The sequence below is a fragment of the Homo sapiens genome, chromosome 6, assembly GCF_000001405.40.
Source record: "Homo sapiens chromosome 6, GRCh38.p14 Primary Assembly".
NCBI classification, from domain to species: domain Eukaryota; kingdom Metazoa; phylum Chordata; class Mammalia; order Primates; family Hominidae; genus Homo; species Homo sapiens.
In genome coordinates, this window is record NC_000006.12 from 34,824,799 (window position 1) to 34,845,289 (window position 20,491).

Here is a 20,491-nt window from a genome sequence, read left to right on the forward strand (position 1 = left end):
TAGCTGGAATTACAGGTGCCCCACACCACACCTGGCTGATTTTTGTATTTTTAATAGAGATGGGATTTTGCCGTGTTGGCCAGGCTGGTCTCGAACTCCTGGCCTCAGGTGATCCACCCGCCTCAGCCTCCTAAAATGCTGGAATTACAGGCGTGAACCACTGTGACTGGCCTAAATACATATTTTTTTACGGAACAATATGGATCAAAAGAAGTCCATACTTTATATTTGGGTGATAGGCCTTTTAAAGCTCTTATAATTATATCCCACCACACACACATTTTTAAATATACCATTTATTCTTTGTAGGAATTAGGTAATCTTTTCTAAAGAATTTCACTTGTTTTATATTCTGGCTGATTGTATCATCAAGGTATCATTGAAAATGTTTCTCATTTAATCTGGTAGATTTAAAGGCTTGCCCTGATTGATTTTGTTTGCTTTTGTTTTCTTGGTAAGAATACTTCCAAGGGGGTGAAAGGTCTCTCTCTGGCCTCTTTTCTTTTTTCTTTTTTTTTTCTTTTTTGAGATGGAGTTTCGCTTTTGTCGCCCAGGCTGGGGTGCAATGGCATGATCTCCGTTCATTGCAACCTCCACCTCCCTGGTTCAAGTGATTTTCCTGCCTCCGCCTCCCAGGTAGCTGGGATTACAGGCATGCACCACCAGGCCCAGCTAATTTTTTGCATTTAGTAGAGATGGGGTTTCACCATGTTAGTCAGGCTGGTCTTGAACTCCTGACCTTAGGTGATCCACCTGCCTTGGCCTCCCAAAGTGTGGGGATCACAGGCGCGAGCCACTGAGTGCAGTCTCCGGCCTCTTTTCTAAAGGCATTAATCCCATTAATGAGGACGTTTCCTTCATGAGCTAAACACCTTCCAGAGGCCTCATCTCTAAAACTGTCACATTGGGCTATTAGGTTTCAACATATGATGAATTTTGGGGAAACATAAGCAATCAGACCATAGCACTGAGTAACATTTTAGTGTATGGATATGCCACAATTGGTTTGTCCATTCACTAGTTGATGGTCATTTTATTTCCATTTTTTGACTATTATGAATAATGCTGCTGTGAACATTTGTATACAAGTTTTTGTGTGGTCATGTGTACTTTTCTTTCTCTTGGGTAAATACCTAGTTATGGTATTTAGGGGAGGATTTAACTTTTTCAGAAACTGTCAAACTTTTCCAGAGTGGCTTACCATTTTATATTCTTTTTACATTTTGCATTTTTTTTTTTTTTTTTTTTTGAGATGGAGTCTCACTCTGTTGCCCAGGCTAGAGTGCAATGGTGCATCTCTGCTCACTGCAACCACCGCTTCCTGGGTTGAAGTGATTCTCCTGCCTCAGCCTCCTGAGTAGCTGGGATTACACACACCAACACACCTGGCTGATTTTTGTTTTAGTAGAGACAGGGTTTCACCATGTTGGCCAGGCTGGTCTCGAATTCCTGACTTCAAATGATCCACCCGGCTTGGCCTCCCAAAGTGCTGGGATTACAGGCGTGAGCCACCGCACCTGGCCTACATGCTTTTACATGTTACATGTTTTACATCCTACTTTTTTTTTTTTTTTTTTTGAGACAAAGTTTTGCTTTGTCACCCAGGCTGGAGTGCGGTGGTGCAGTCACGGCTCACTGCAGCCTTGAACTCCTGGGCTCAAGCGATTCTCCCACATCAGACTCCCAAATAGCTGGGGATACAGGCATGTGCCACTGCACCCAATTAATTTTTAAATATTTTGCAGAGATGGGTCTCACCATATTGCACAGGCTGGTCTTGAACTCCTGGACTCAAGTGATCTTTCCGACTTGGCCTCTCAAAGTGTTAGGATTACAGACGTGAGCGACTGTGCCTGGCTTTACATCGTACATTTACTCTTTATACATGTTTTTTTTGTATGTCATACCTTTACAGTCATTATTCTTCTTGATGTTCATATCTCCCCATCTTTGGCCAGTTAGAGCATTTCCAAGTGAGCTCCTGTGTCCTTTTGACAAGACCCCAGTAATCGTTCTGCTTTTAGATAGAATAAGATGTTTGAGGATTCTTTTATACAACTTTACCCTAGACCTGAACTCAGACATCTCTCCAAGGAGCCCTGATTCCCTTCAGTGAGAAACGCTATTTAGAGACTATTGTCTGCAAAACTGTGTACATTGAGTTTTCATTGCTTTAAGGCCTTTTCAGTGTCCAATGCTAGGAAAAAGGTATTTTTAAGAAAGAGAAAAATAGGCCGGGCTCAGTGGCTCACACCTGTAATCCCAGCACTCTGGGAGGCCAAGGCGGGTGGATCACGAGGTCAGGAGATCGAGACCAGCCTGGCCAACATAGCGAAACCCCATCTCTACTAAAATACAAAAAATTAGCCGGGCGTGGTGGCGCGTGCCTGTAGTCCCAGCTACTCGGGAGGCTGAGGCAGGGGAGTTGCTTGAACCCGGGAGGCAGAGGTTGCAGTGAGCCAAGATCGTGCCACTGCACTCCAGCCTGGTGACAGAGTGAGACTCTGTTTCAAAAAAAAAGAAAAAAAACAAAACAAAGAAAGAGAAAAATAAATCATGACAATATCCTGATATTTCTCTATTCAAATAAAAGAAAAGAGGATTTTGAGATAACTTTCTGGATTTAATAGTGGTTTTTAAATTCATACACTGAGTCATGGCTCCTATCAACAGTAACATAAATGATTTACTTTTTCAAGTTTCAGAAAAACAAAACCATTATAACTATCAATAACACTACTACTGAATGCAGTATCGGGGTGTGTATGTGTGTTTTAATCTTGTGAAATATCCCATTAGGGATGTATGGTCAAAATACTGTTTTTGTTTGTTTGTTTTGTTTTGTTTGAGATGAAGTTTTTCCGCTCTTGTTTTCCAGGCTGGAGTGCGGTGGCACCATCTCGGCTCACTGCAACCTCTGCCTCCCGGGTTCAAGCGATTCTCCTGCCTCAGCTTCCTAAGTAGCTGGGATTATGGGCGCCTGCCACCATGCCTGGCTAATTTTTGTATTTTTAGTAAGGACGGGGTTTCACCATGTTGCCCAGGCTGGTCTCGAACTCCTGACCTCAAGTGATCCACCCGCCTTGGCCTCCCAAAGTGCTGGGATTACATGAAATCATTCTTTAGATGGTTGAGTAGCAATTTGACATACAGAAAGGTTCTTTTATTTGTTTAAGTTTTAGATGGTTTTTAAATTTATTTTTAGCTATGTAAAATTATGTAGCTCTGAAGTTAACAACTGTGAAACAAGGCACATTATATGTACTGTATATATATTTGTATTGTCCCACCTTTTTTCTGTACAACATGTAGCATATCTTAAATACTTCTTCTACATTGTTCTTTTCATTTAAAAATATATCCTGGAAAGCCGGGCGTATTACATGGCTCACGCCTGTAATCCCAGCAGTTTGGGAGGCTGAGGTGGGCAGATCACGAGGTCAGGAGTTCAAGACCAGTCTGATCAACATGGTGAAACCCCGTCTCTACTAAAAATACAAAAATTAGCCGTGCATGGTGGCACGCGCCTGTAATCCCAGCTACTCAGGAGGCTGAGGCAGGAGAATTGCTTGAACCCAGGAGATGGAGGTTGCAGTGAGCCGAGATCACACCACTGCACTCCAGCCTGGGTGACAGAGCAAGACTCCATCTCAAAAAAAAAAAAAAAAAAGTGTGTATTTATATATATATATATATCCTAGAGATCACTCCATAGAAGTGTGAAGAGATGTTCTTTATTCCTTTTTGTACCTGTAGAATATGCTTATCTTTTGGAGGCAACATAGTTTAGCCAGTTCTCTGTTGATGGATATTTGGATTATTTCCAGATTTTTTGCTGTTAAACATGGTTCAGCAATAAATGGCCTTGTTCATAAGTCACTTCATATTTTGCCAGCATAATTTTTTTTTCTTATTCTTTCTTTTCTTACAAGAAAACCAAAGAAGCTGGCTGGGTACAGTGGCTCATGCCTGTAATCCCAGCACTTTAAGAGGCCGAGGTGGGTGGATCGCCTGAAGTCAGGAGCTTGAAACCAGCATGGCCAACATGGAGAAACTCTATCTTTACTAAAAATACTAAATTAGCCAGGCGTGGTGGCGCATGCCTGTAGTACCAGCTCCTTGGGAGGCTGAGGCAGGAGAATTGCTTGAACCTGTGAGGCAGAGCTTGCAGTGAGCTGAGATTGCACCATTGCTCTCCAGCCTGGGCGACAAGAGTGAAACTCCATCTCAAAAAAAAAAAAAAAAAAAAAAAAAAGAAGAAAACCAAAGAAGCCAAGCCAGCATAATTTAGAAAACACTTTATTGAAATATAATTCACATACCATAACATTCATCCATGTGAAGTATACAATTCAGTGGTTTTTACTGTATTCACTGGGATGTACAACCATGACCACAATCAATTTTAGAACATTTTCATCACCCAAGAGAAACTCCATACATATTAGCAGTCACTCCTCGTTCTTCCCTGCCTTAGCCCTAGGCAACCACTCATCTACTGTCTATGTCTATTCTGAACATTTATATAAATGAAATCATACACTGTGTGGTCTTTTGTGGTTGACTTCTTTCACTTAGCATAATGTTTTCAAGGTTCAGGCATGTTCAGGCATAACCTTAAAAAGGAATAAAGAACTGTTATGTACTACAACATGGCTGTTTTAGGTAAATATATACTCATTTGCTTCCGGCTACTTTAGCTTAACATTATGTTTGTGAGAGACATCCATTTTGTTACATATGTTTGTAGTTCATTCTTCCTCATTACTGTATACCATTCCATTACCTGAATATGCCATAATCCATTCTGTTGTAGATGCTTCTAGTTTCTGGTTCTTCTTCTTTTTTTTTTCTGAGACAGAGTCTTGCTCTGTTGCCCAGGTTGGAGTGCAGTGGTGCGATCTCAGCTCACTGCAACCTCTGCCTCCCAGGTTCAAGCGATTCTCACACCTCAGCCTTTGGAGTAGTTGGGAGTACAGGTGTGTGCCACTGCTACCATACCTAGCTACTTTTTCTTTTTTTCAAGACAAGAGTCTCGCTATGTCACCCAAGCTGGAGTGCAGTGGCGCAATCTCGGCTCACTGCAACCTCCACCTCCCAGGTTCAAGTGATTCTTCTGCCTCAGCCTCCCAAGTAGCTGGAACTATAGGCACCTGCCATCACGCCTCACTGATTTTTTTGTGTGTGTGTGTTTTTAGTAGAGACTGGGTTTCACTGTGTTGGCCAGGCTGGTCTTGAACTCCTGACCTCGTGATTTGCCTGCCTCAGCCTCCCAAAGTGATGGGATTACAGGTGTGAGCTACCGCGCCTGGCCTCCCCTGGCTAATTTTTGTATTTTTAGCGAGACAGGGTTTTGCCATGTTAGTCAGGCTGGTCTCATCCTGGTCTCAGGTGATCCACTCGCCTCAGCCTCCCAAAATGCTGGGATTACAGGCTTGTAGAACTCTTCTCTATGATGACTTTGGTGGTCAATCATGACTCCATGTATTTGCCAAAACCCACAGAGCCGGCTGGGTGTGGTGACTCACGCCTGTAATCCCAGCACTTTGGGAGGCCGAGGCGGGCAGATCACGAGGTCAGGAGTTCGAGACCAGCCTGGCCAACATGGTGAAACCCCATCTCTACTAAAAAAAATAAAAAAATTAGCTGGGCATGATGGCGTGCGCCTGTAATCCCAGCTATTCCAGAGTCTGAGGCAGGAGAATTGCTTGAACCTGGGAGGCAGATGTTGTAGTGAGCCGAGATCACACCACTGCACCCCAGCCTAGGTCACAGAGCAAGACTCTGTCTCGGCGGGGAAAAAAAAAACCCACAAAGCCATACACCACAAAGAATGAATTTTCCTGCATATAAGTTGAAAATATGTAGTGAAAGAGAATAGTGCTGCTATGAACCTTCTTGTGTATATATCACACATTTCTATTTTATATACCTAGCAGTAAAATTGTTGGGTTATGGGTTCTGTTTTTGTAAATATTGCTAGATAGTTATTCATAGTGATTGTACCAGTTTTCCCTCTAGCATTGCATAAAAGTTCTAGTTGTTCCATATCTGGTATTGTCTATCTTTTCATTTTAATCATCCTGGTGGGTGTGTAGTTGTATCACATTATGGTTTAATTTATATTTTTCTGACGATTGGTTTATTGAAATTTTGGATATTGTCTTTCATAAAGCACTTGTGTGTTTTGCTCATTTATCTTTGAGTTGTCTTTTTCTTATTAATTTGTAGAAGTTCTTTATATATTCTGAAAACAAGTACTTGGTTAGATAAATGTACTGCAGATATCTTCTACTCTGTACAGAATACCAAGATACTGATCACTCTTAATTTTTTTTTTTTTTTTGAGACAGAGTTCCTCTCTTGTCACTCAGGCTAGAGTGCAATGGCGCAGTCTCAGCTCACTGCAACCTCCACCTCCTGGGTTCAAGTGATTCTTCTGCCTCAGCCTCCTGAGTGGCTGGGATTACAGGCGCCTGCCACCACGCCCAGCTAATTTTTGTATTTTTAGTAGAGATGGGGTTTCACCATGTTGGCCAGGCTGGTCTCGAACTTCTGACCTCAGGTGATCCACCCGCCTCGGCCTCCCAAAGTGCTGGGATTACAGGCATGAACCACTGCGCCTGGCCCACCCTTAATTTTTTTTAAATTATTGAACAGAAATTATTAATTCTGATGTAGTCCAGTATATCTTTTTTTTCCACTTAATGGTTAGCAGTTTTTGTATCTTGTTTAAGTTCCTTTTCTATCCTAAGGCAGGAAGAGAGTATCCTATGTTTTCTTCTAAAAGCTTTATTGTTTGGCTTTTAACATTTGAATCTCTAGTCCATCTTGGAACTGATTTTTTGTTGTTGTTGTTTGATGAAGGTAGGCATCAATATTAATTTTTCTCTTTATGGATATCTGCAAACTGACCATGCACCATTTATTGAAAAAACTATTTTCCCCCTGCACTGTCACCTTTGTCATAAATCTAGTGACTCTCAGCATAGTTTTGATTTATGAGTGAGGTTGAGGATCATTTTCTTTTCTTTTGAGACGGAGCCTCGCTCTGTCACCAGGCTGGAGTGCAGTGGCATGATCTTGGCTCACTGCAACCTCTGCCTCCCAGGTTCAAGCAATTCTCCTGCCTCAGACTCCCAAGTAGCTGGGACTACAGGTGTGCACCACCACGCCTAGCTAATTTTTGTATTTTTAGTAGAGATGGGGTTTCACCATGTTGGCCAGGATGGTCTCGATCTCTTGACCTCGTGATCCACCCACCTCCACCTCCCAAATTTCTGGGATTACAGGCATGAGCCACTGCACCCGGCCTTTTTTCTTTCTTTTTTTTTTTTTTAAGACAAGGTCTCACTCTGTCACTCAGGTTGGAGTGCAGTGTCACGATCACAGCTCATTGCAGCCTAGACCTCCTCAGGCTCAGGTGATCCTCCCGCCTCAGCCTCCCAAGTTGCTGGGACCAAAGGCATGCACCACTGTATCTGGCTAATTTTTTCTATTTTTTGTAGTGACCAGGTCTCACTATGTTGCTGGGCTGAGCTCAAACTCCTAGGCTCAAGTGATGTGCCTGCTTTAGCCTCCCAAAGTGTTAGGATTATAGGCGTGAGCCACTGTGCCCAGCGTTTTTTCTTTTCTTCTTTTTCTTTTTTTTTTCTGAGACAGGGTCTGACTCTGTCACCCTGGCTTGAGTGCAGTGGCGCAATCTTGGCTCACTGCAGCCTCAATCTCCTGGGCTCAAGCGATCCTCCTATCTTAGCCTCTCAAGTAGCTGGGACTACAGGCATGCACCACCACGACCTGGCTAATTTTTAAATTTTTTTGTAGAGAGTTTTTGTAGAGAGGGCATCTCCCTTTGTTGCCCAGGCTGGTCTCAAACTCCTGGGCTCAAATGATCCTCCACCTCGGCCTCCTAAAGTGCTGGGATTACAGGTGTGAGTCACTGTGCCCAGCCTCTTTATGTTTAATATCTATTTGCATTTATTTCTTCTGTGACCTGTCCATACTTGGTCCCACTTTTATCAGGCTCTTGCTCTATTTTCTCTCTGGTTTTTGAAGTTCTTTATACATTAGGGATATTAGTTCTTGGTGACATAAATTCCAAATATATATTTTTTTTCAGTTTGAATTTTCAGACCTCCTTTTATCTCTTGTAATGAGCAGTGATTTCACCTACATGTCAAGAATTGCTGTTTTCTTCACATCTAGAGGGACTTTGTTTCCTTCATTCCTCTCCTTTTGCCATTTCTGTCCTCTCACTGTAGAAGTATAGCTATATTCTTTGGGAAGCACAGTTGATCCTTGAATAGCACAAGTTTGAGCTACATGGGTCCATGCATATGCGGATTTTTTTCAACCAAATGCAGATCAAAATATTGCAGGGTGCCACCCACATAGATAGTTGACTTTTCATATATGCAGGTCCCTCAGGGTTGGCTGTGGGATTTGAGCAGATTTTGGTATAGGAGATGGTACTGGGGGCTCCTGGAACTTCACATACCAAGGGATGACTGTATTTGACAGGGTCAAGGTGGGACTGATTTTGAACCTCTTATTCACCTGACTGTACTACTTTTCTTACCACTACTTATGCAGAGTATGCTCCATCATTGAAGATTTTTTTTTTTTTTGACACCAGGTCTTGCTGTTGTGTCTTTGAAGATTTTATAGAAACCCTATGTCTCTTTTCTGTAGTTATACTTCCCCTCACAGACATTATCTAAATATTTAGATAGTTTGTGGTTTATAAAAAGATTTATCAATTTATTCTTTCTAACAGGAGGGAGATTGTTTCAAGGTCTTCCTCTTTTATTCCATTCTTAAAAAAAAATTTCTCATTAAAGAAAGTACTGTCCAGGTGCGGTGGCTCACGCCTGTAATCCTAGCACTTTGGGTGGCCGAGATGGGCAGATCACCAGGCCAAGAGATTGAGACCATCCTGGCCAACATGGGGAAACCCCGTCTCTACTAAAAATACAAAAATTAGCTGGGAGTGGTGGCGCGTGGCTCCCAGCTACTTGGGAGGCTGAGGCAGGAGAATACCTTGAACCTGGGAGGTAGAGATTGCAGGTGGCCGAGATCGCGCCACTGCACTCCAGCCTGGTGACAGAGTGAGACTCCGTCTCAAAAAAAAAAAAAAAAAAAAAAAAAAATTACTGCAGCCAAGCACAGTGGCTCATACCTGTGATCCCAGCTATTTCAGAGGCTGAGACGAGAGGATCACTTGAGGCCAGGAGTTCAAGGCTGCAGTGAGCTGTGATCATGCCGCTGTACTCCAGCTTGGGTAACAGAGCAAGAACCTGTCTCAAAAAAATAAAAAGACTACTGTATTATCATTATAAAATAATTTAAACATCTAATATGAAGACTGTGCAGAAAGTCTCCCATAATTCTGATTGTTGGTCTACCTCATTTGTTGTAGTGAATATGGCTTTGCCGAAAAGGTGGTGGAAGGGATGTTCATCATTGTCAATTCTATCACCATCAAGATTCACTCCAAGGCCTTCCACGCTTCTTTTGAATTGTGGCAGCTCCAGGGCTATAGTGTCAACCCCAACTGGCAGCAGAGTGACCTTCGCCTTACCCGCATCACTGACCCCTGCCGAGGAGAGGTGACAGCCCCATCATTGTGAAGGGAGAGAATGGGGGAATATTCAAAGTCAGACTGATTCTTAAAGGATATTATTCCCATTTTGTGGATTTCCTCAAATGTTCCCCATTCCTGGGAACCCAGAGGCCTTTCTGTCCAGTGTTACTGCTACATCCTTTCCTCAATTATGGATCCCCAATTCACTGCTTTTTCTTGGTGGGATCCCAACTGAGAGTGCTGGGAGTCTCTGCCTTGCCAGTCTTTTTTCCTTGGACTTCTTGCTTCTTGGTTAATTTCATTCACAGGATTAAGGGATTGTACTTTCTCTCCTTCCAGGTTTTAACATTTAAGGAAATAACTTGGCAAACACTCCGAATTGAGGCAGATGCTACAGACAATGGTGATCAGGACCCAGTCACCACTCCATTGAGGCTTATTACGAACCAAGGCAGGATCCAAATAGCCCTCAAAAGAAGAGTAAGTGTGTTCTCTGGCCTCATGAAAACTTCCATCTCTTATTCTATGAGACAGCCTGGATTTGGTATTCCCTTATTGTTTGGAATGTTATTGGCCCTGGAATGACAGTTGAAGGGGGAAGGCCTGTAAATCAGTGTTGCTCAACATCCTCTAGTAATAGAATGTTTCCACCTTCCTGTTTTCTTAGTTTTGGAAACTGCAATTTTTACTCGTATGTAGGGACACTGACATAGGCACCTGGCAGTTGACTATTGCTTTTTTTTTAATTAAGGAAACTTTAGTAGTTTTATAAGAAATTGTCTCTCCAAAGTGCTTGATACTTTCACATATTGGAGATTGAAAAGCCGCTTCTGAAACTGATTGGGCAACAGTCACTTTGAAAGTTGGAATGATACGAGGTGATAAACCCCATGTTGTCTGTGGCTTCCTCAGACCAAAGATTGCAATGTGATATCCTCCAAGCTGATGTTCCTGTTGGATGACCTGCTCTGGGTGCTGACTGACTCACAGCTCAAGGCTATGATGAAGTATGCAGAGTCACTGAGTGAAGCCATGGAGAAGTCAGCCCATCAAAGAAAGAGCCTGGCCCCTGAACCTGTGCAGGTTAGAGATAAAACAGACACCCTTAGTGGGGCTAGGGACTCAGTAGGCCAGACCTAACTCATACTAATGTAGGTGGAATCTAGACTTTATTTGGGAAATTTGTCATTTACTTCTGGGTATTCATAGGCTTTGCCTGCACCTCTGATTTTTTATTTATTCTGTTCATTGGGTACCTCCAGTGTATTAAGTATACAGTGCTGGCCACTGGAGAAGAAAAATGGAATACACCTCTTGTTCCTGTCCTTGGGGCTCTCACTGTCTTGAAAGATGGACCATAAATGAATTATTACAGTATGGTGTGATAAATGCTGTAATACAATAAACAATATGCCATGAGAGCACAAAGAAGAGGCATCTCACTACATAGGCTGAAAGAGAGCATTTAGGGAAGACGTCCTAGAGGAAATGTTTTAGCATCAGTCCACTAAGACCTGGTGGGCGAGAGCTGGGAGGGCAATTCAGAACTATGAACTGTATTCCAGCAGTTATTAGACTAATTATAATTAGGCTTTTGGAGTTTGGGTTATATAATTGAAACGGACCTAAGTGAGCTACTAGGCCAACAGTTGTGAGAGGGAAGGAACATCTTGCTAAACTGTGGTTTTCTTCAGGCTGGACCAAAGCTTAAAGAAAGCCTACAAAGGATCTTTTCAGGGTCTGGACTTCCTGTTTCTCTCTCTGTCACATGTAGATCACTCCACCAGCCCCCAGTGCCCAGCAGTCCTGGGCCCAGGCATTTGGTGGCAGCCAGGGCAACAGCAACAGCAGCAGCAGCCGCCTCAGCCAGTACTTTGAGAAATTTGATGTGAAAGAGTCCTCCTACCATCTGCTCATCTCCCGCCTGGACCTGCACATTTGTGATGATAGCCAGTCCCGAGAGCCAGGTACCCCATGAGGCCTGAGCCTGGGCTGGGTGGTCCACGTCACTGTCTAGCTCTGGGCAGAGCCTGGGGATGAAGGCTCTTTTCAGAAGACATTGTGGAGTACTTTGGTTGGCTTCCCTTAATCACAGGCATTCCTTGGGCCTCAGCCCTCCTGTGGTAGCCCTGTTGTTTGAGGCAGTGCTGTTCAGTCTTTAGGGTACAGTAGAACCACATGTCATACTTAATAAAATACAGATGTTGGGCCTCTCCCCAAACACCTCTAAATTAGAGTCTTCAGTGGTAGAGTTCAAGCAGTGTAAACTTTTTTTTCCCCTCACCAAAGTTCCTTAGGCAATCCTGATGCTTATCAGAGGTTGAAAACGACTAGGGTGAGATTTTAGGAAAGTAAATTCAACTATAGAAAACCTCAGAATTTGTAGATTTGGGTCAGTTTAAATATTTATTGTGTGTAAATGTTCTCTTCCCAAGCAAGGTTATGTTGTAATCTCGACATACTTAGAACAACTGCCATTATATATGTGTTTGTATTTATTCAGAATGAAAAAAACTAATTGACTGATTGCTTTCCTTTATGAGCCCTGGGGAAACCACTTAATTTTCTGCTTAACCTGTTTGAGTTTCCACATTCGTGAAATTGAGTTAAATGATGTCTCACTCATTACCTCAAAAGTTGTTGTCAGGCTCAAATGAGCCAATAGGCTGAATTTGGAGGACCTTGATTATAGGCTAATATTAAGTTTTATTACCCTGCTGCTTGTTTCTTCAAAACTATCTTTGTGTTTCCTTTAAACTCTCCATTGCCATCAGTTCTTGGTTTTTGATGCTTATATATGATATTAAATAGACTTTTCTCTTGCTGGCTTATCTTCTCTAAAGGCTTTGTTTACCTTATAATAAGATCTAGATTCACTGGCCAGGCACAGTGGCTCATGACTGTAATCTCAATACTTTGGGAGGCTGAGGTGAGAGGATTGCTTGAGCTTAGGAGTTTGAGACCAGCCTGGGCAACATGGCGAAACCCGTCTCTACAAAAAATTTGAAAATTAGCCAGAGATCAGCTGCAGTGGGCTCACGCCTATAGTCCTATCACTTTGGGAGGCTGAGGTGGGAGGATTGCTTAAGCCCGGGAGTTTGAGACCAGCCTGGGCAATATAGTGAGACTCCATCTCTTAAAAAAAAATTAGCCAGGTGTGGTGGTGTGTCCCTGTAGTTCTAGCTACTCAGGAGGCTAAGGTGGGAGAATTGCTTGAGCCCAGGAGCTCAAGGTTGCAGTGAGCCATGATTTGTGCCACTACACTCCAGCCTGGGTGACACAGTGAGACCCTGTTTCAAAAAAAAAATAATCTTGAAGTGATTTCAACCCTCCTCTACTCTCATTCTGAAAGGAAAGAAAGGAGCAATGACAGTGCAAAGATTGTTTTTGCCACCACAGGAAATAATTTGCCACTCACTCATTTTGGAAGTTTGTTACTAAAACAAGTATTATTTTGTTTAGTTATTTCTTCCAAGTGTTACTTAAAGGCTTTGGGTATTTTTTGGTTTGATTGTTTGTTTAGATTTTGTTTTTAATGCTTTCAGAATTCCTAATTAAGAGTACACAATTCAGAGTTTCATCCTGTCGCTTGATAAGGGATGTTTAGTACTATTCTCTTCAAGTGCCAGAGTTCTGTAATCCATACTAAGATGTGAATGACTGTAGCTTCACCGTTCATTTATTAAACTATATTGATCTTTTTGGTGGAATTTAATGAAGTTTTAGATGAGACATTTTATTTTATTTTTACAATGCAATTATTTATCTTACAAGGAGATTCTGTACATCAGGGAGGCATCTTGAAGTACAATACACCAGGCTTTCATTTCTTCTTACATTATGATTGTGAGTTTCCATATAAGTTGGTACTTACATGGAAAGGAAACACAAAATCCATTTTTATATACATAAAACAAACACCCAAAGAGACTTGACCCCAAAATGTCTTGTTTCACTTGAAAAGAACATGAATGAGATGAAAGATGAACCAGATTACTTGGTGACACACAGAAGGCAAACAAGTAGCTCAGGAAATCAAATCCTGTTTCAAGCTTGGCACATTAAGGGTAAGAAAGGTAGTGAAAGAAGGGTTTGAAAATATCATCTCAAGCCACAAAAAATGCTGGCAGAAGACAGTCTCCAAACCAATAAGATAGAATGGTTAGAAGAAGTCAAGTTAGAGTTATTGTGTGGCTACCTTATATCCAGACCTCTAATAGACTGAGTGGAATTGTCACTTCTTTTCCCTCAGTTATCCCAAGTGTTAGTAAACTTCAAGGAGGCTGGGCACGATGACTTACACCTGCAATCTCAGAACTTTGGAAGGCCAAGATGGGCAGATTCCTTGAGCCCAGGTGTTCAAGACCAGCCTGGGCAACATCGCAAAACCTCATCTCTAAAAAACCACAAAAATCAGCTGGGCGTGGTGGCACACACCCGTAGTCCCAGCCACTCAGACTGAAGCGGGAGGATCGCTTGGCAGAGGTTGCTCTGAGCCAAGATTGTGCCACTGCACTCCAGCATGGGTGACAGAGCGAGACCCAATCTCCAAAAAGAAATCAAAACCAAACAAAAAACTTCAAGGAAGGCCGGGCATGGTGGCTCATGCCTATAATCCCAGCACTTTGGGAGGCCAAGGCGGGTGGATCACCTGAGGTCAGGAGTTTGAGACCAGCCTGACCAACATGGAGAAACCCCGTCTCTACTAAAAACACAAAATTAGCTGGGCATGGTGGCACATGCCTGTAATCCCAGCTACTTGGGAGGCTGAGGCAGGAGAATTGCTTGAACCCGGGAGGCGGAGGTTGCAGTGAGCCGAGATGGCGCCATTGCACTCCAGCCTGGGCAACAAGAACAAAACTCCATCTAGATAGACATTTTAAAATACGGGAATAATTCTCAGCCTACCATACCCGGGTGTGGTATAGGGGCAGAGATCAGGGAGAGTTCTTGTAACTCTTTCTCTGGGATTTGGGGAGAAAGGGGAAGGGAGAACTAGGTAATATAGAAAGGGCTTTAAGATTTTCTGGAGTTGTTCTGTCCAATATAGTAGCCACTAACCACGTGTGACTACTGGACACTTGAAATGTGGCTGATTCAAATTGAGATGTTCTGTAAATGTAAAATACACATTGGATTTCAAAGATATGTGTCAGGTCCATGACTATGCCAAATGTCATGCCCAGGGTTAGGTTCCAGCCCATGCTGAGGTCGAGGGGAGTGGGTGGATGGGCAGATAGCCGAAAGAACACTCGGTCGGTGGGGTGGGGCACTGCCAGGGGGTAGGCAGGTGAAATGTACTTTTATTTAGCAGCTCTCTCATCAACAGCTCTCTCGCACTGGCCCGGCTGCTTGTCCGGGTGCTCGCATGCATAAAGCTGCGCGGGTGGCTCTCCCTTACCTTCAGAGTCAGCAGCTTAACTCTTTCCCTCTGGGCACAACCCAGTTCCTGGCTCTCCCTTGCCTGTCTGCCAGACGGCCAGTCTCCCTTACAGGGGTCAATAGCTTCACTCTGTCTGGGCGCCAGCGCCTGTACAAGAGCTGTGCCATGCCGTGCTGTGCCGTGCCGTCCAAGCTGAGCCCCAAGAGCATAGCATCAGCAGGGCAGTTACACCTTTTACAGACAATAGTGGTACAGGGCCAAGGGATGACCTTCCTATGTTATGGCTACATGGCTGTGATAACAGGTGGAGTTATATGCCTGTGCTCTAAACTTGCTGAGTCATGCAGGCCTGGACATCTGCCTAGGCATATTCCTTGACCAAAGCACATCCATGTACTTTACAATATGGTACCAAAAAAAGAGTGTAAACCACCTCAATAATTATTTTCATGTTGATTCCATGTTGAAATAACATTTGGGTATATTGGTTTAAATACATATTATTGGCCAGGCTTGGTGGCTCACGCGTGTAATCCCAGCAGTTTGGGATGCCAAAGGCGGGTGGGTCACCTGAGGTCAGGAGTTTGAGACCAGCCTGGCCAACATGGTGAAACCCCGTCTCTACTTAAAAAAAAAAAAAAAAATACAAAAATTAGCTGGGCGTGGTGGCAGGCACCTGTAATCCCAGCTACATGGGAGGCTGAGGCAGGAGAATTGCTTGAACCCAGGAGGTGGAGGTTGCAGTGAGCCAAGATTGCGCCATTGCACTCCAGCCTGGGGGACAAGAGCGAGACTTTGTCTCAAAAAATAAATAAATAAAATAAAAATAAATACATATTATTACAATTAATTTCACTTTTTATTTTCTTGAGACAGAGTCTCGCTCTGTCGCCCAGGCTGGAGTGCAGTGGCACAATCTTGGCTCACTGCAAGCTCTGCCTCCCGGGTTCATGCCATTCTCCTGCCTCAGCCTCCCGAGTAGCTGGGACTACAGGTGCCCGCCACCACGCCCGGCTAATTTTTTTGTATTTTTAGTAGAGATGCAGTTTCACCGTATGAACCAGGATGCTCTCGATTCCCTGACCTTGTGATCCGCCTTGGCCTCCCAAAGTGCTGGGATTATAGGCGTGAGCCACCACGCCAGGCTAATTTCACTTTTTAAATACTGCTTTCATATAGCTATTAGAAAATTTAAAATTTCTTGTGTAATTATATTGTTGTTGTCGTTGTTGCTTTTGTTTTGTTTTGTTTTACAGTAGAGGCTCACTACATTCCCCAGGCTGGTCTCTTTAACTCCTGGGCTCAAATAATCTTCTCGCCTAAGCCGCCTGGGTAGCTGGGACTATAGGCACATGCCACCAAGTCCAGCTCACATTATTTTTATTTTAATTTTATTATTTTTTTTGATTCTCACACCTCAGCCTCCCGAGTAGTTGGGATTACAGGCACCCACCACCACGCCTGGTTGATTTTTTTGCATTTTCAGTAGCAATGGGGTTTCACTATGTTGGCCAGGCTGGTCTTGAACTCCTGACCTCAAGTGATCCGCCCACTTCAGCCTCCCAAAGTGTTGGGATTACAGGCGTGAGCCACTGTGCCCAGCCCCAGTCTATATTTCTATTAGATATCATTACTTTAGAATTATCTGTCCAATATGGTATTAAATTGCCACATGCAGCTATTTAAATTAAAATGAAAATTACAATTAAAAGTTCATTTTCATTTTAATTAAAATTAAAATTAGTTCTTTATTTGCTGTAGCCACATTTCAATTGCTCAGTATAGTCTATAAGCCATAGAACACTTCCATCATCACAGAAAGTTCTTTGGACAGTGCTGCTCTAGAGACCACTTGAAGGCCACACCTGGATGTTGGAACTGCTGACTAACATGCTCACCTATCCCTGGGTATTAGAGGTGAAATGATCGGAAACTGGATGGTTCATTGGGGTCAGCACTGTCTTGAGGTGGGACAGCATTGTCTTGTAAAATCAAACTGGATGGCAAAGATAGAAATAAGGCTTTCCCCAGAAAATAAAAAAAGAAAAAAATCAAACTGGAGCTCACATTTCAGTCTTCTGAGAGAAGATTGGTGATTGATGGGGAAGAGAGTACCACCTACTTTTTAACTGTTTTCTCTTAGGGTAAAGCCTGTTAGCCAAAAACCTTCCTTATTTCTCTTTTTTAAGGGCAGGCTATTCTCTTCCCACTAGTTCACTAGAGAATTTTAGTCATTTATATACACTATTTACCATTTATATCTCATATATGATTATGTGTTTACAATTAGATATGTTGATAATTGTTAATTATATTTGATTCCAATTCTACACCCTACTATAATAAGCTCATTCCATATAGTTTATTGTTCTTTTAGCTCTAAGCAACTCCAGCAGAGGAGGCATTGTTGTGGAACCTTCTTCCTCCAGTAGCCTAGGTCATGCATTCTCAGCTGAGATAATATCACCCCAAACAGGTGAAAATTGGCTCTTTTCTTTTAAGCTGTATTGAGATACAATCTCACACCATACAATTCATCCATTTACAATATATAACTCAGTGTATTTTGATATATTCATAGGGTTGTATAACGATCTCAATAATCTAATTTCAGAACATTTTTGTTTCCCTTAAAAGAAACCCTGTATCCATTTGCTGTCACTCCCCATTTTGAATCCCTAAGCAACCACTAATCTATTTTTGATATTTGCCTATTCTGGAAATTAAAAATTGGTTTCGGGGGTGCAGTGGGGATCTTAGATATAACAATCATCTGTGGCCCTCTAAAGCTTAACCCAGCCAGGCACGGTGGCTCACACCTGTAATCCCAGCACTTTGGGAGGCCGAGATGGAAGATTGCTTGAGCCCAGGAGTTCTATTTTTTTTTTAATTAAAAAGTAAAAATAAAGTTTAACCTGACTGACAAAATTTTATTCCTTAGTACTTAGTTTATCTCATTGAGCAGCACTGACAGTGAGTTCATGGAAGATACACAAAATGTGTGGAAGATCAGTGTTACAAACTATGACAAGTAGATGGCTGTGGTTAGAGGACTTTCTCTCAATCAGTTGCTCCATCTCAGAGTTATATGGTGAGAGGTGGCTTGCAACTGCCTGTTGCCTGCCATTGGCTGCTTTGCTAGTGTTACTTATGTTTGATCCTCAGTACTTTTGTGATTTGAACTTTGAGTATTAAATAAAAATAGTTTATTTTAAAATTTTATTTATTTATTTTTTTGAAACAGGGTCTTGTTCTGTTGCCCAGTCTGGAGTGTCATGGCATGATCATAGTTCACTGAAGCCTCAACTTCCCAGACTCAAACGATCCTCCCACGTCAGCCTCCCAAGTAGCTGGGACTATAGGCATGTGTCACCACACCTGGCTAATTTTTGTATTTGTTGTAGAGATGAGGTCTCGCTATGTTACCAGGGCTGGTCTTGAACTCCTGAGCTCAAGCAATCCTTCTGCCTTGGCCTCCCAAAATGTTGGGATTATGGGTGTGATCCACTGTGCCTGGCCTATGTTACTTTTATTTTTTTTTTGCCCACATATCTATATACAATTCAGAAAATAGTTTATGTTTTATTATTTAATTCTGTAATAGTTATTCAATTCATCATTAAGTTAATCAAGTGCTGAAAAAATGTTGACACTACTCAATGAGTAATAGTTTAAAAGTTATTTTCTTTTTTCTTTTTAATTTTTATGGGTGATAGGTTATATGTTTATGGGATATATGAGATATTTTCATGCAGGCATACGATACATAATAATCACATCAGGGTAAATCGGTTATCTATCACCTCAAGCATTTATCATTTATTTGTGTTACAAACATTCTAATTTTACTCTTTTAGTTATTTTTAAATGTACAATAAATTATTGTTGACTTAGGTTGCTTCCAAATCTTGGCTATTATGAATAGTGCTGCAGTAAACATGAGAGTGCAAATATCTCCTGGGCATACTGATTTCATTTCCTTTGGATAAATATCCAGTAGTGGGATTGCCTGATCATATGGTAGTTCTATCTTTAGTTTTTTGAAGAACTTCCATACTGTTCTCCATAGTAGTTATACTAATTTACATTCCCACCAACAGTGTCCAGGGGTTCCCTTTTCTCTACATCTTTGCCACCATTCATTTTTGGTGTCTTTTGGATAAAAGCCATTTTTACTGGGGTAAGATGACATCTCATTGTAGTTTTATTTTGTTTTTGTTTTTGTTTTTGTTTTGAGATGGAGTCTCACTCCATTGCCCAGGCTGGAGTGCAGTGGCGTGATCTTTGCTTACTGCAAGCTCCGCCTCCCAGGTTCACACCATTCTCCTGCCTCAGCCTCCTGAGTAGCTGGGACTACAGGCGCCTGCCACCACGCCCGGCTAATTTTTTTTGTATTTTTAGTAGAGACGGGGTTTCACCATGTTAGTCAGGATGGTCTCAGTCTCCTGACCTTGTGATCCACCCACCTTGGCCTCCCAAAGTGCTGGGATTACAGGCGTGAGCCACCAAACCTGGCCTGGTTTGTTTTTGAGACAGAGTCTTGCTGTGTTGCCCAGGCTGGAGTCAGTGGCAAGATGTCAGCTTACTGCAACCTCTGCCTCTGGGGTTCAAGCAATTCTCATGCCTCACCCTCCCGAGTAGCTGGGATTACAGGCACTCGTGACCATGACAGACTAATTTTTGTATTTTTAGTAAAGACAGGATTTCACCGTGATGGCTAGGCTGGTCTTGAACTCCTGGTTTCAAGTGATCTGCCCGCCTCAGCTTCCTAAAGTGCTAGGATTACAGGCATGAGCCACTGTACCCAGCCTCATTGTAGTTTTGATTTTCATTTCTCTAATGATCCATGATATTGAGCACTTTTTCATATGCCTGTTTGCCATTTGTATGTCTTCTTTTGATACATGTCTATTCAGGTCTTTTGCCCATTTTTAATTGGATTATTAGATTTTTTTTCCTGTTAAATTCCTTATTTAGTCTAGTTATTAATCCCTTGCCAGATGAATAGTTTGCAAATGTTTTCTCCCATTCTGTGGGTTGTCTCTTCACTTTGTTGATTGCTTCTTTTTCTGTGCAGAGGCTTTTTAACTTAATGTCATCCCATTTGTCCATTTTTGCCATGGTTGCTTGTACCTTGGGAGCATTACTCAAGAAATCTTTGCCCAGACCAATGTTGTGGAGAGTTTCCCCAGTGTTTTCTTGTAGTAGTTTCATAGTTTGAGGTCTTAGACTTAAGTCTTTAATCCATTTTGATTTGATTTTCATATATGGCAAGAGATAGGGGTCTAGTTTCATTCTTCTACATATGGATATCCAGTTTTCCTAGAACCATTTATTGAAAAGACCATCCTTTCCCCAATGTATGTTCTAAGTACCTTTGTCAGTAATGAGTTCACTGTAGATATAGATGTATGGATTTGTTTCTGAGTTCTTTATTTTGTTCCATTGGTCTATATGTCTGTTTTTATGCCATGCTGTTTTGGTTATAGCACCGTAGTATAATTTGAAGTCAGGTAACGTGATTC

At 42.2% G+C, this 20,491-nt stretch overlaps 1 protein-coding gene across 1 annotated transcript in view; it reads left to right on the forward strand.

Moving 5' to 3' along the window:
- Positions 1–20,491, forward strand: part of BLTP3A (bridge-like lipid transfer protein family member 3A) — an 85,432-nt gene that overhangs the window by 32,716 nt on the left and 32,225 nt on the right. Inside the window, exons 5-8 of the mRNA NM_017754.4 lie at positions 9,419–9,608; positions 9,923–10,063; positions 10,496–10,666; positions 11,358–11,550. Of these exons, the coding sequence (NP_060224.3) occupies positions 9,419–9,608; positions 9,923–10,063; positions 10,496–10,666; positions 11,358–11,550 (695 nt within the window). The remainder of the gene's footprint in view (positions 1–9,418; positions 9,609–9,922; positions 10,064–10,495; positions 10,667–11,357; positions 11,551–20,491) is intronic.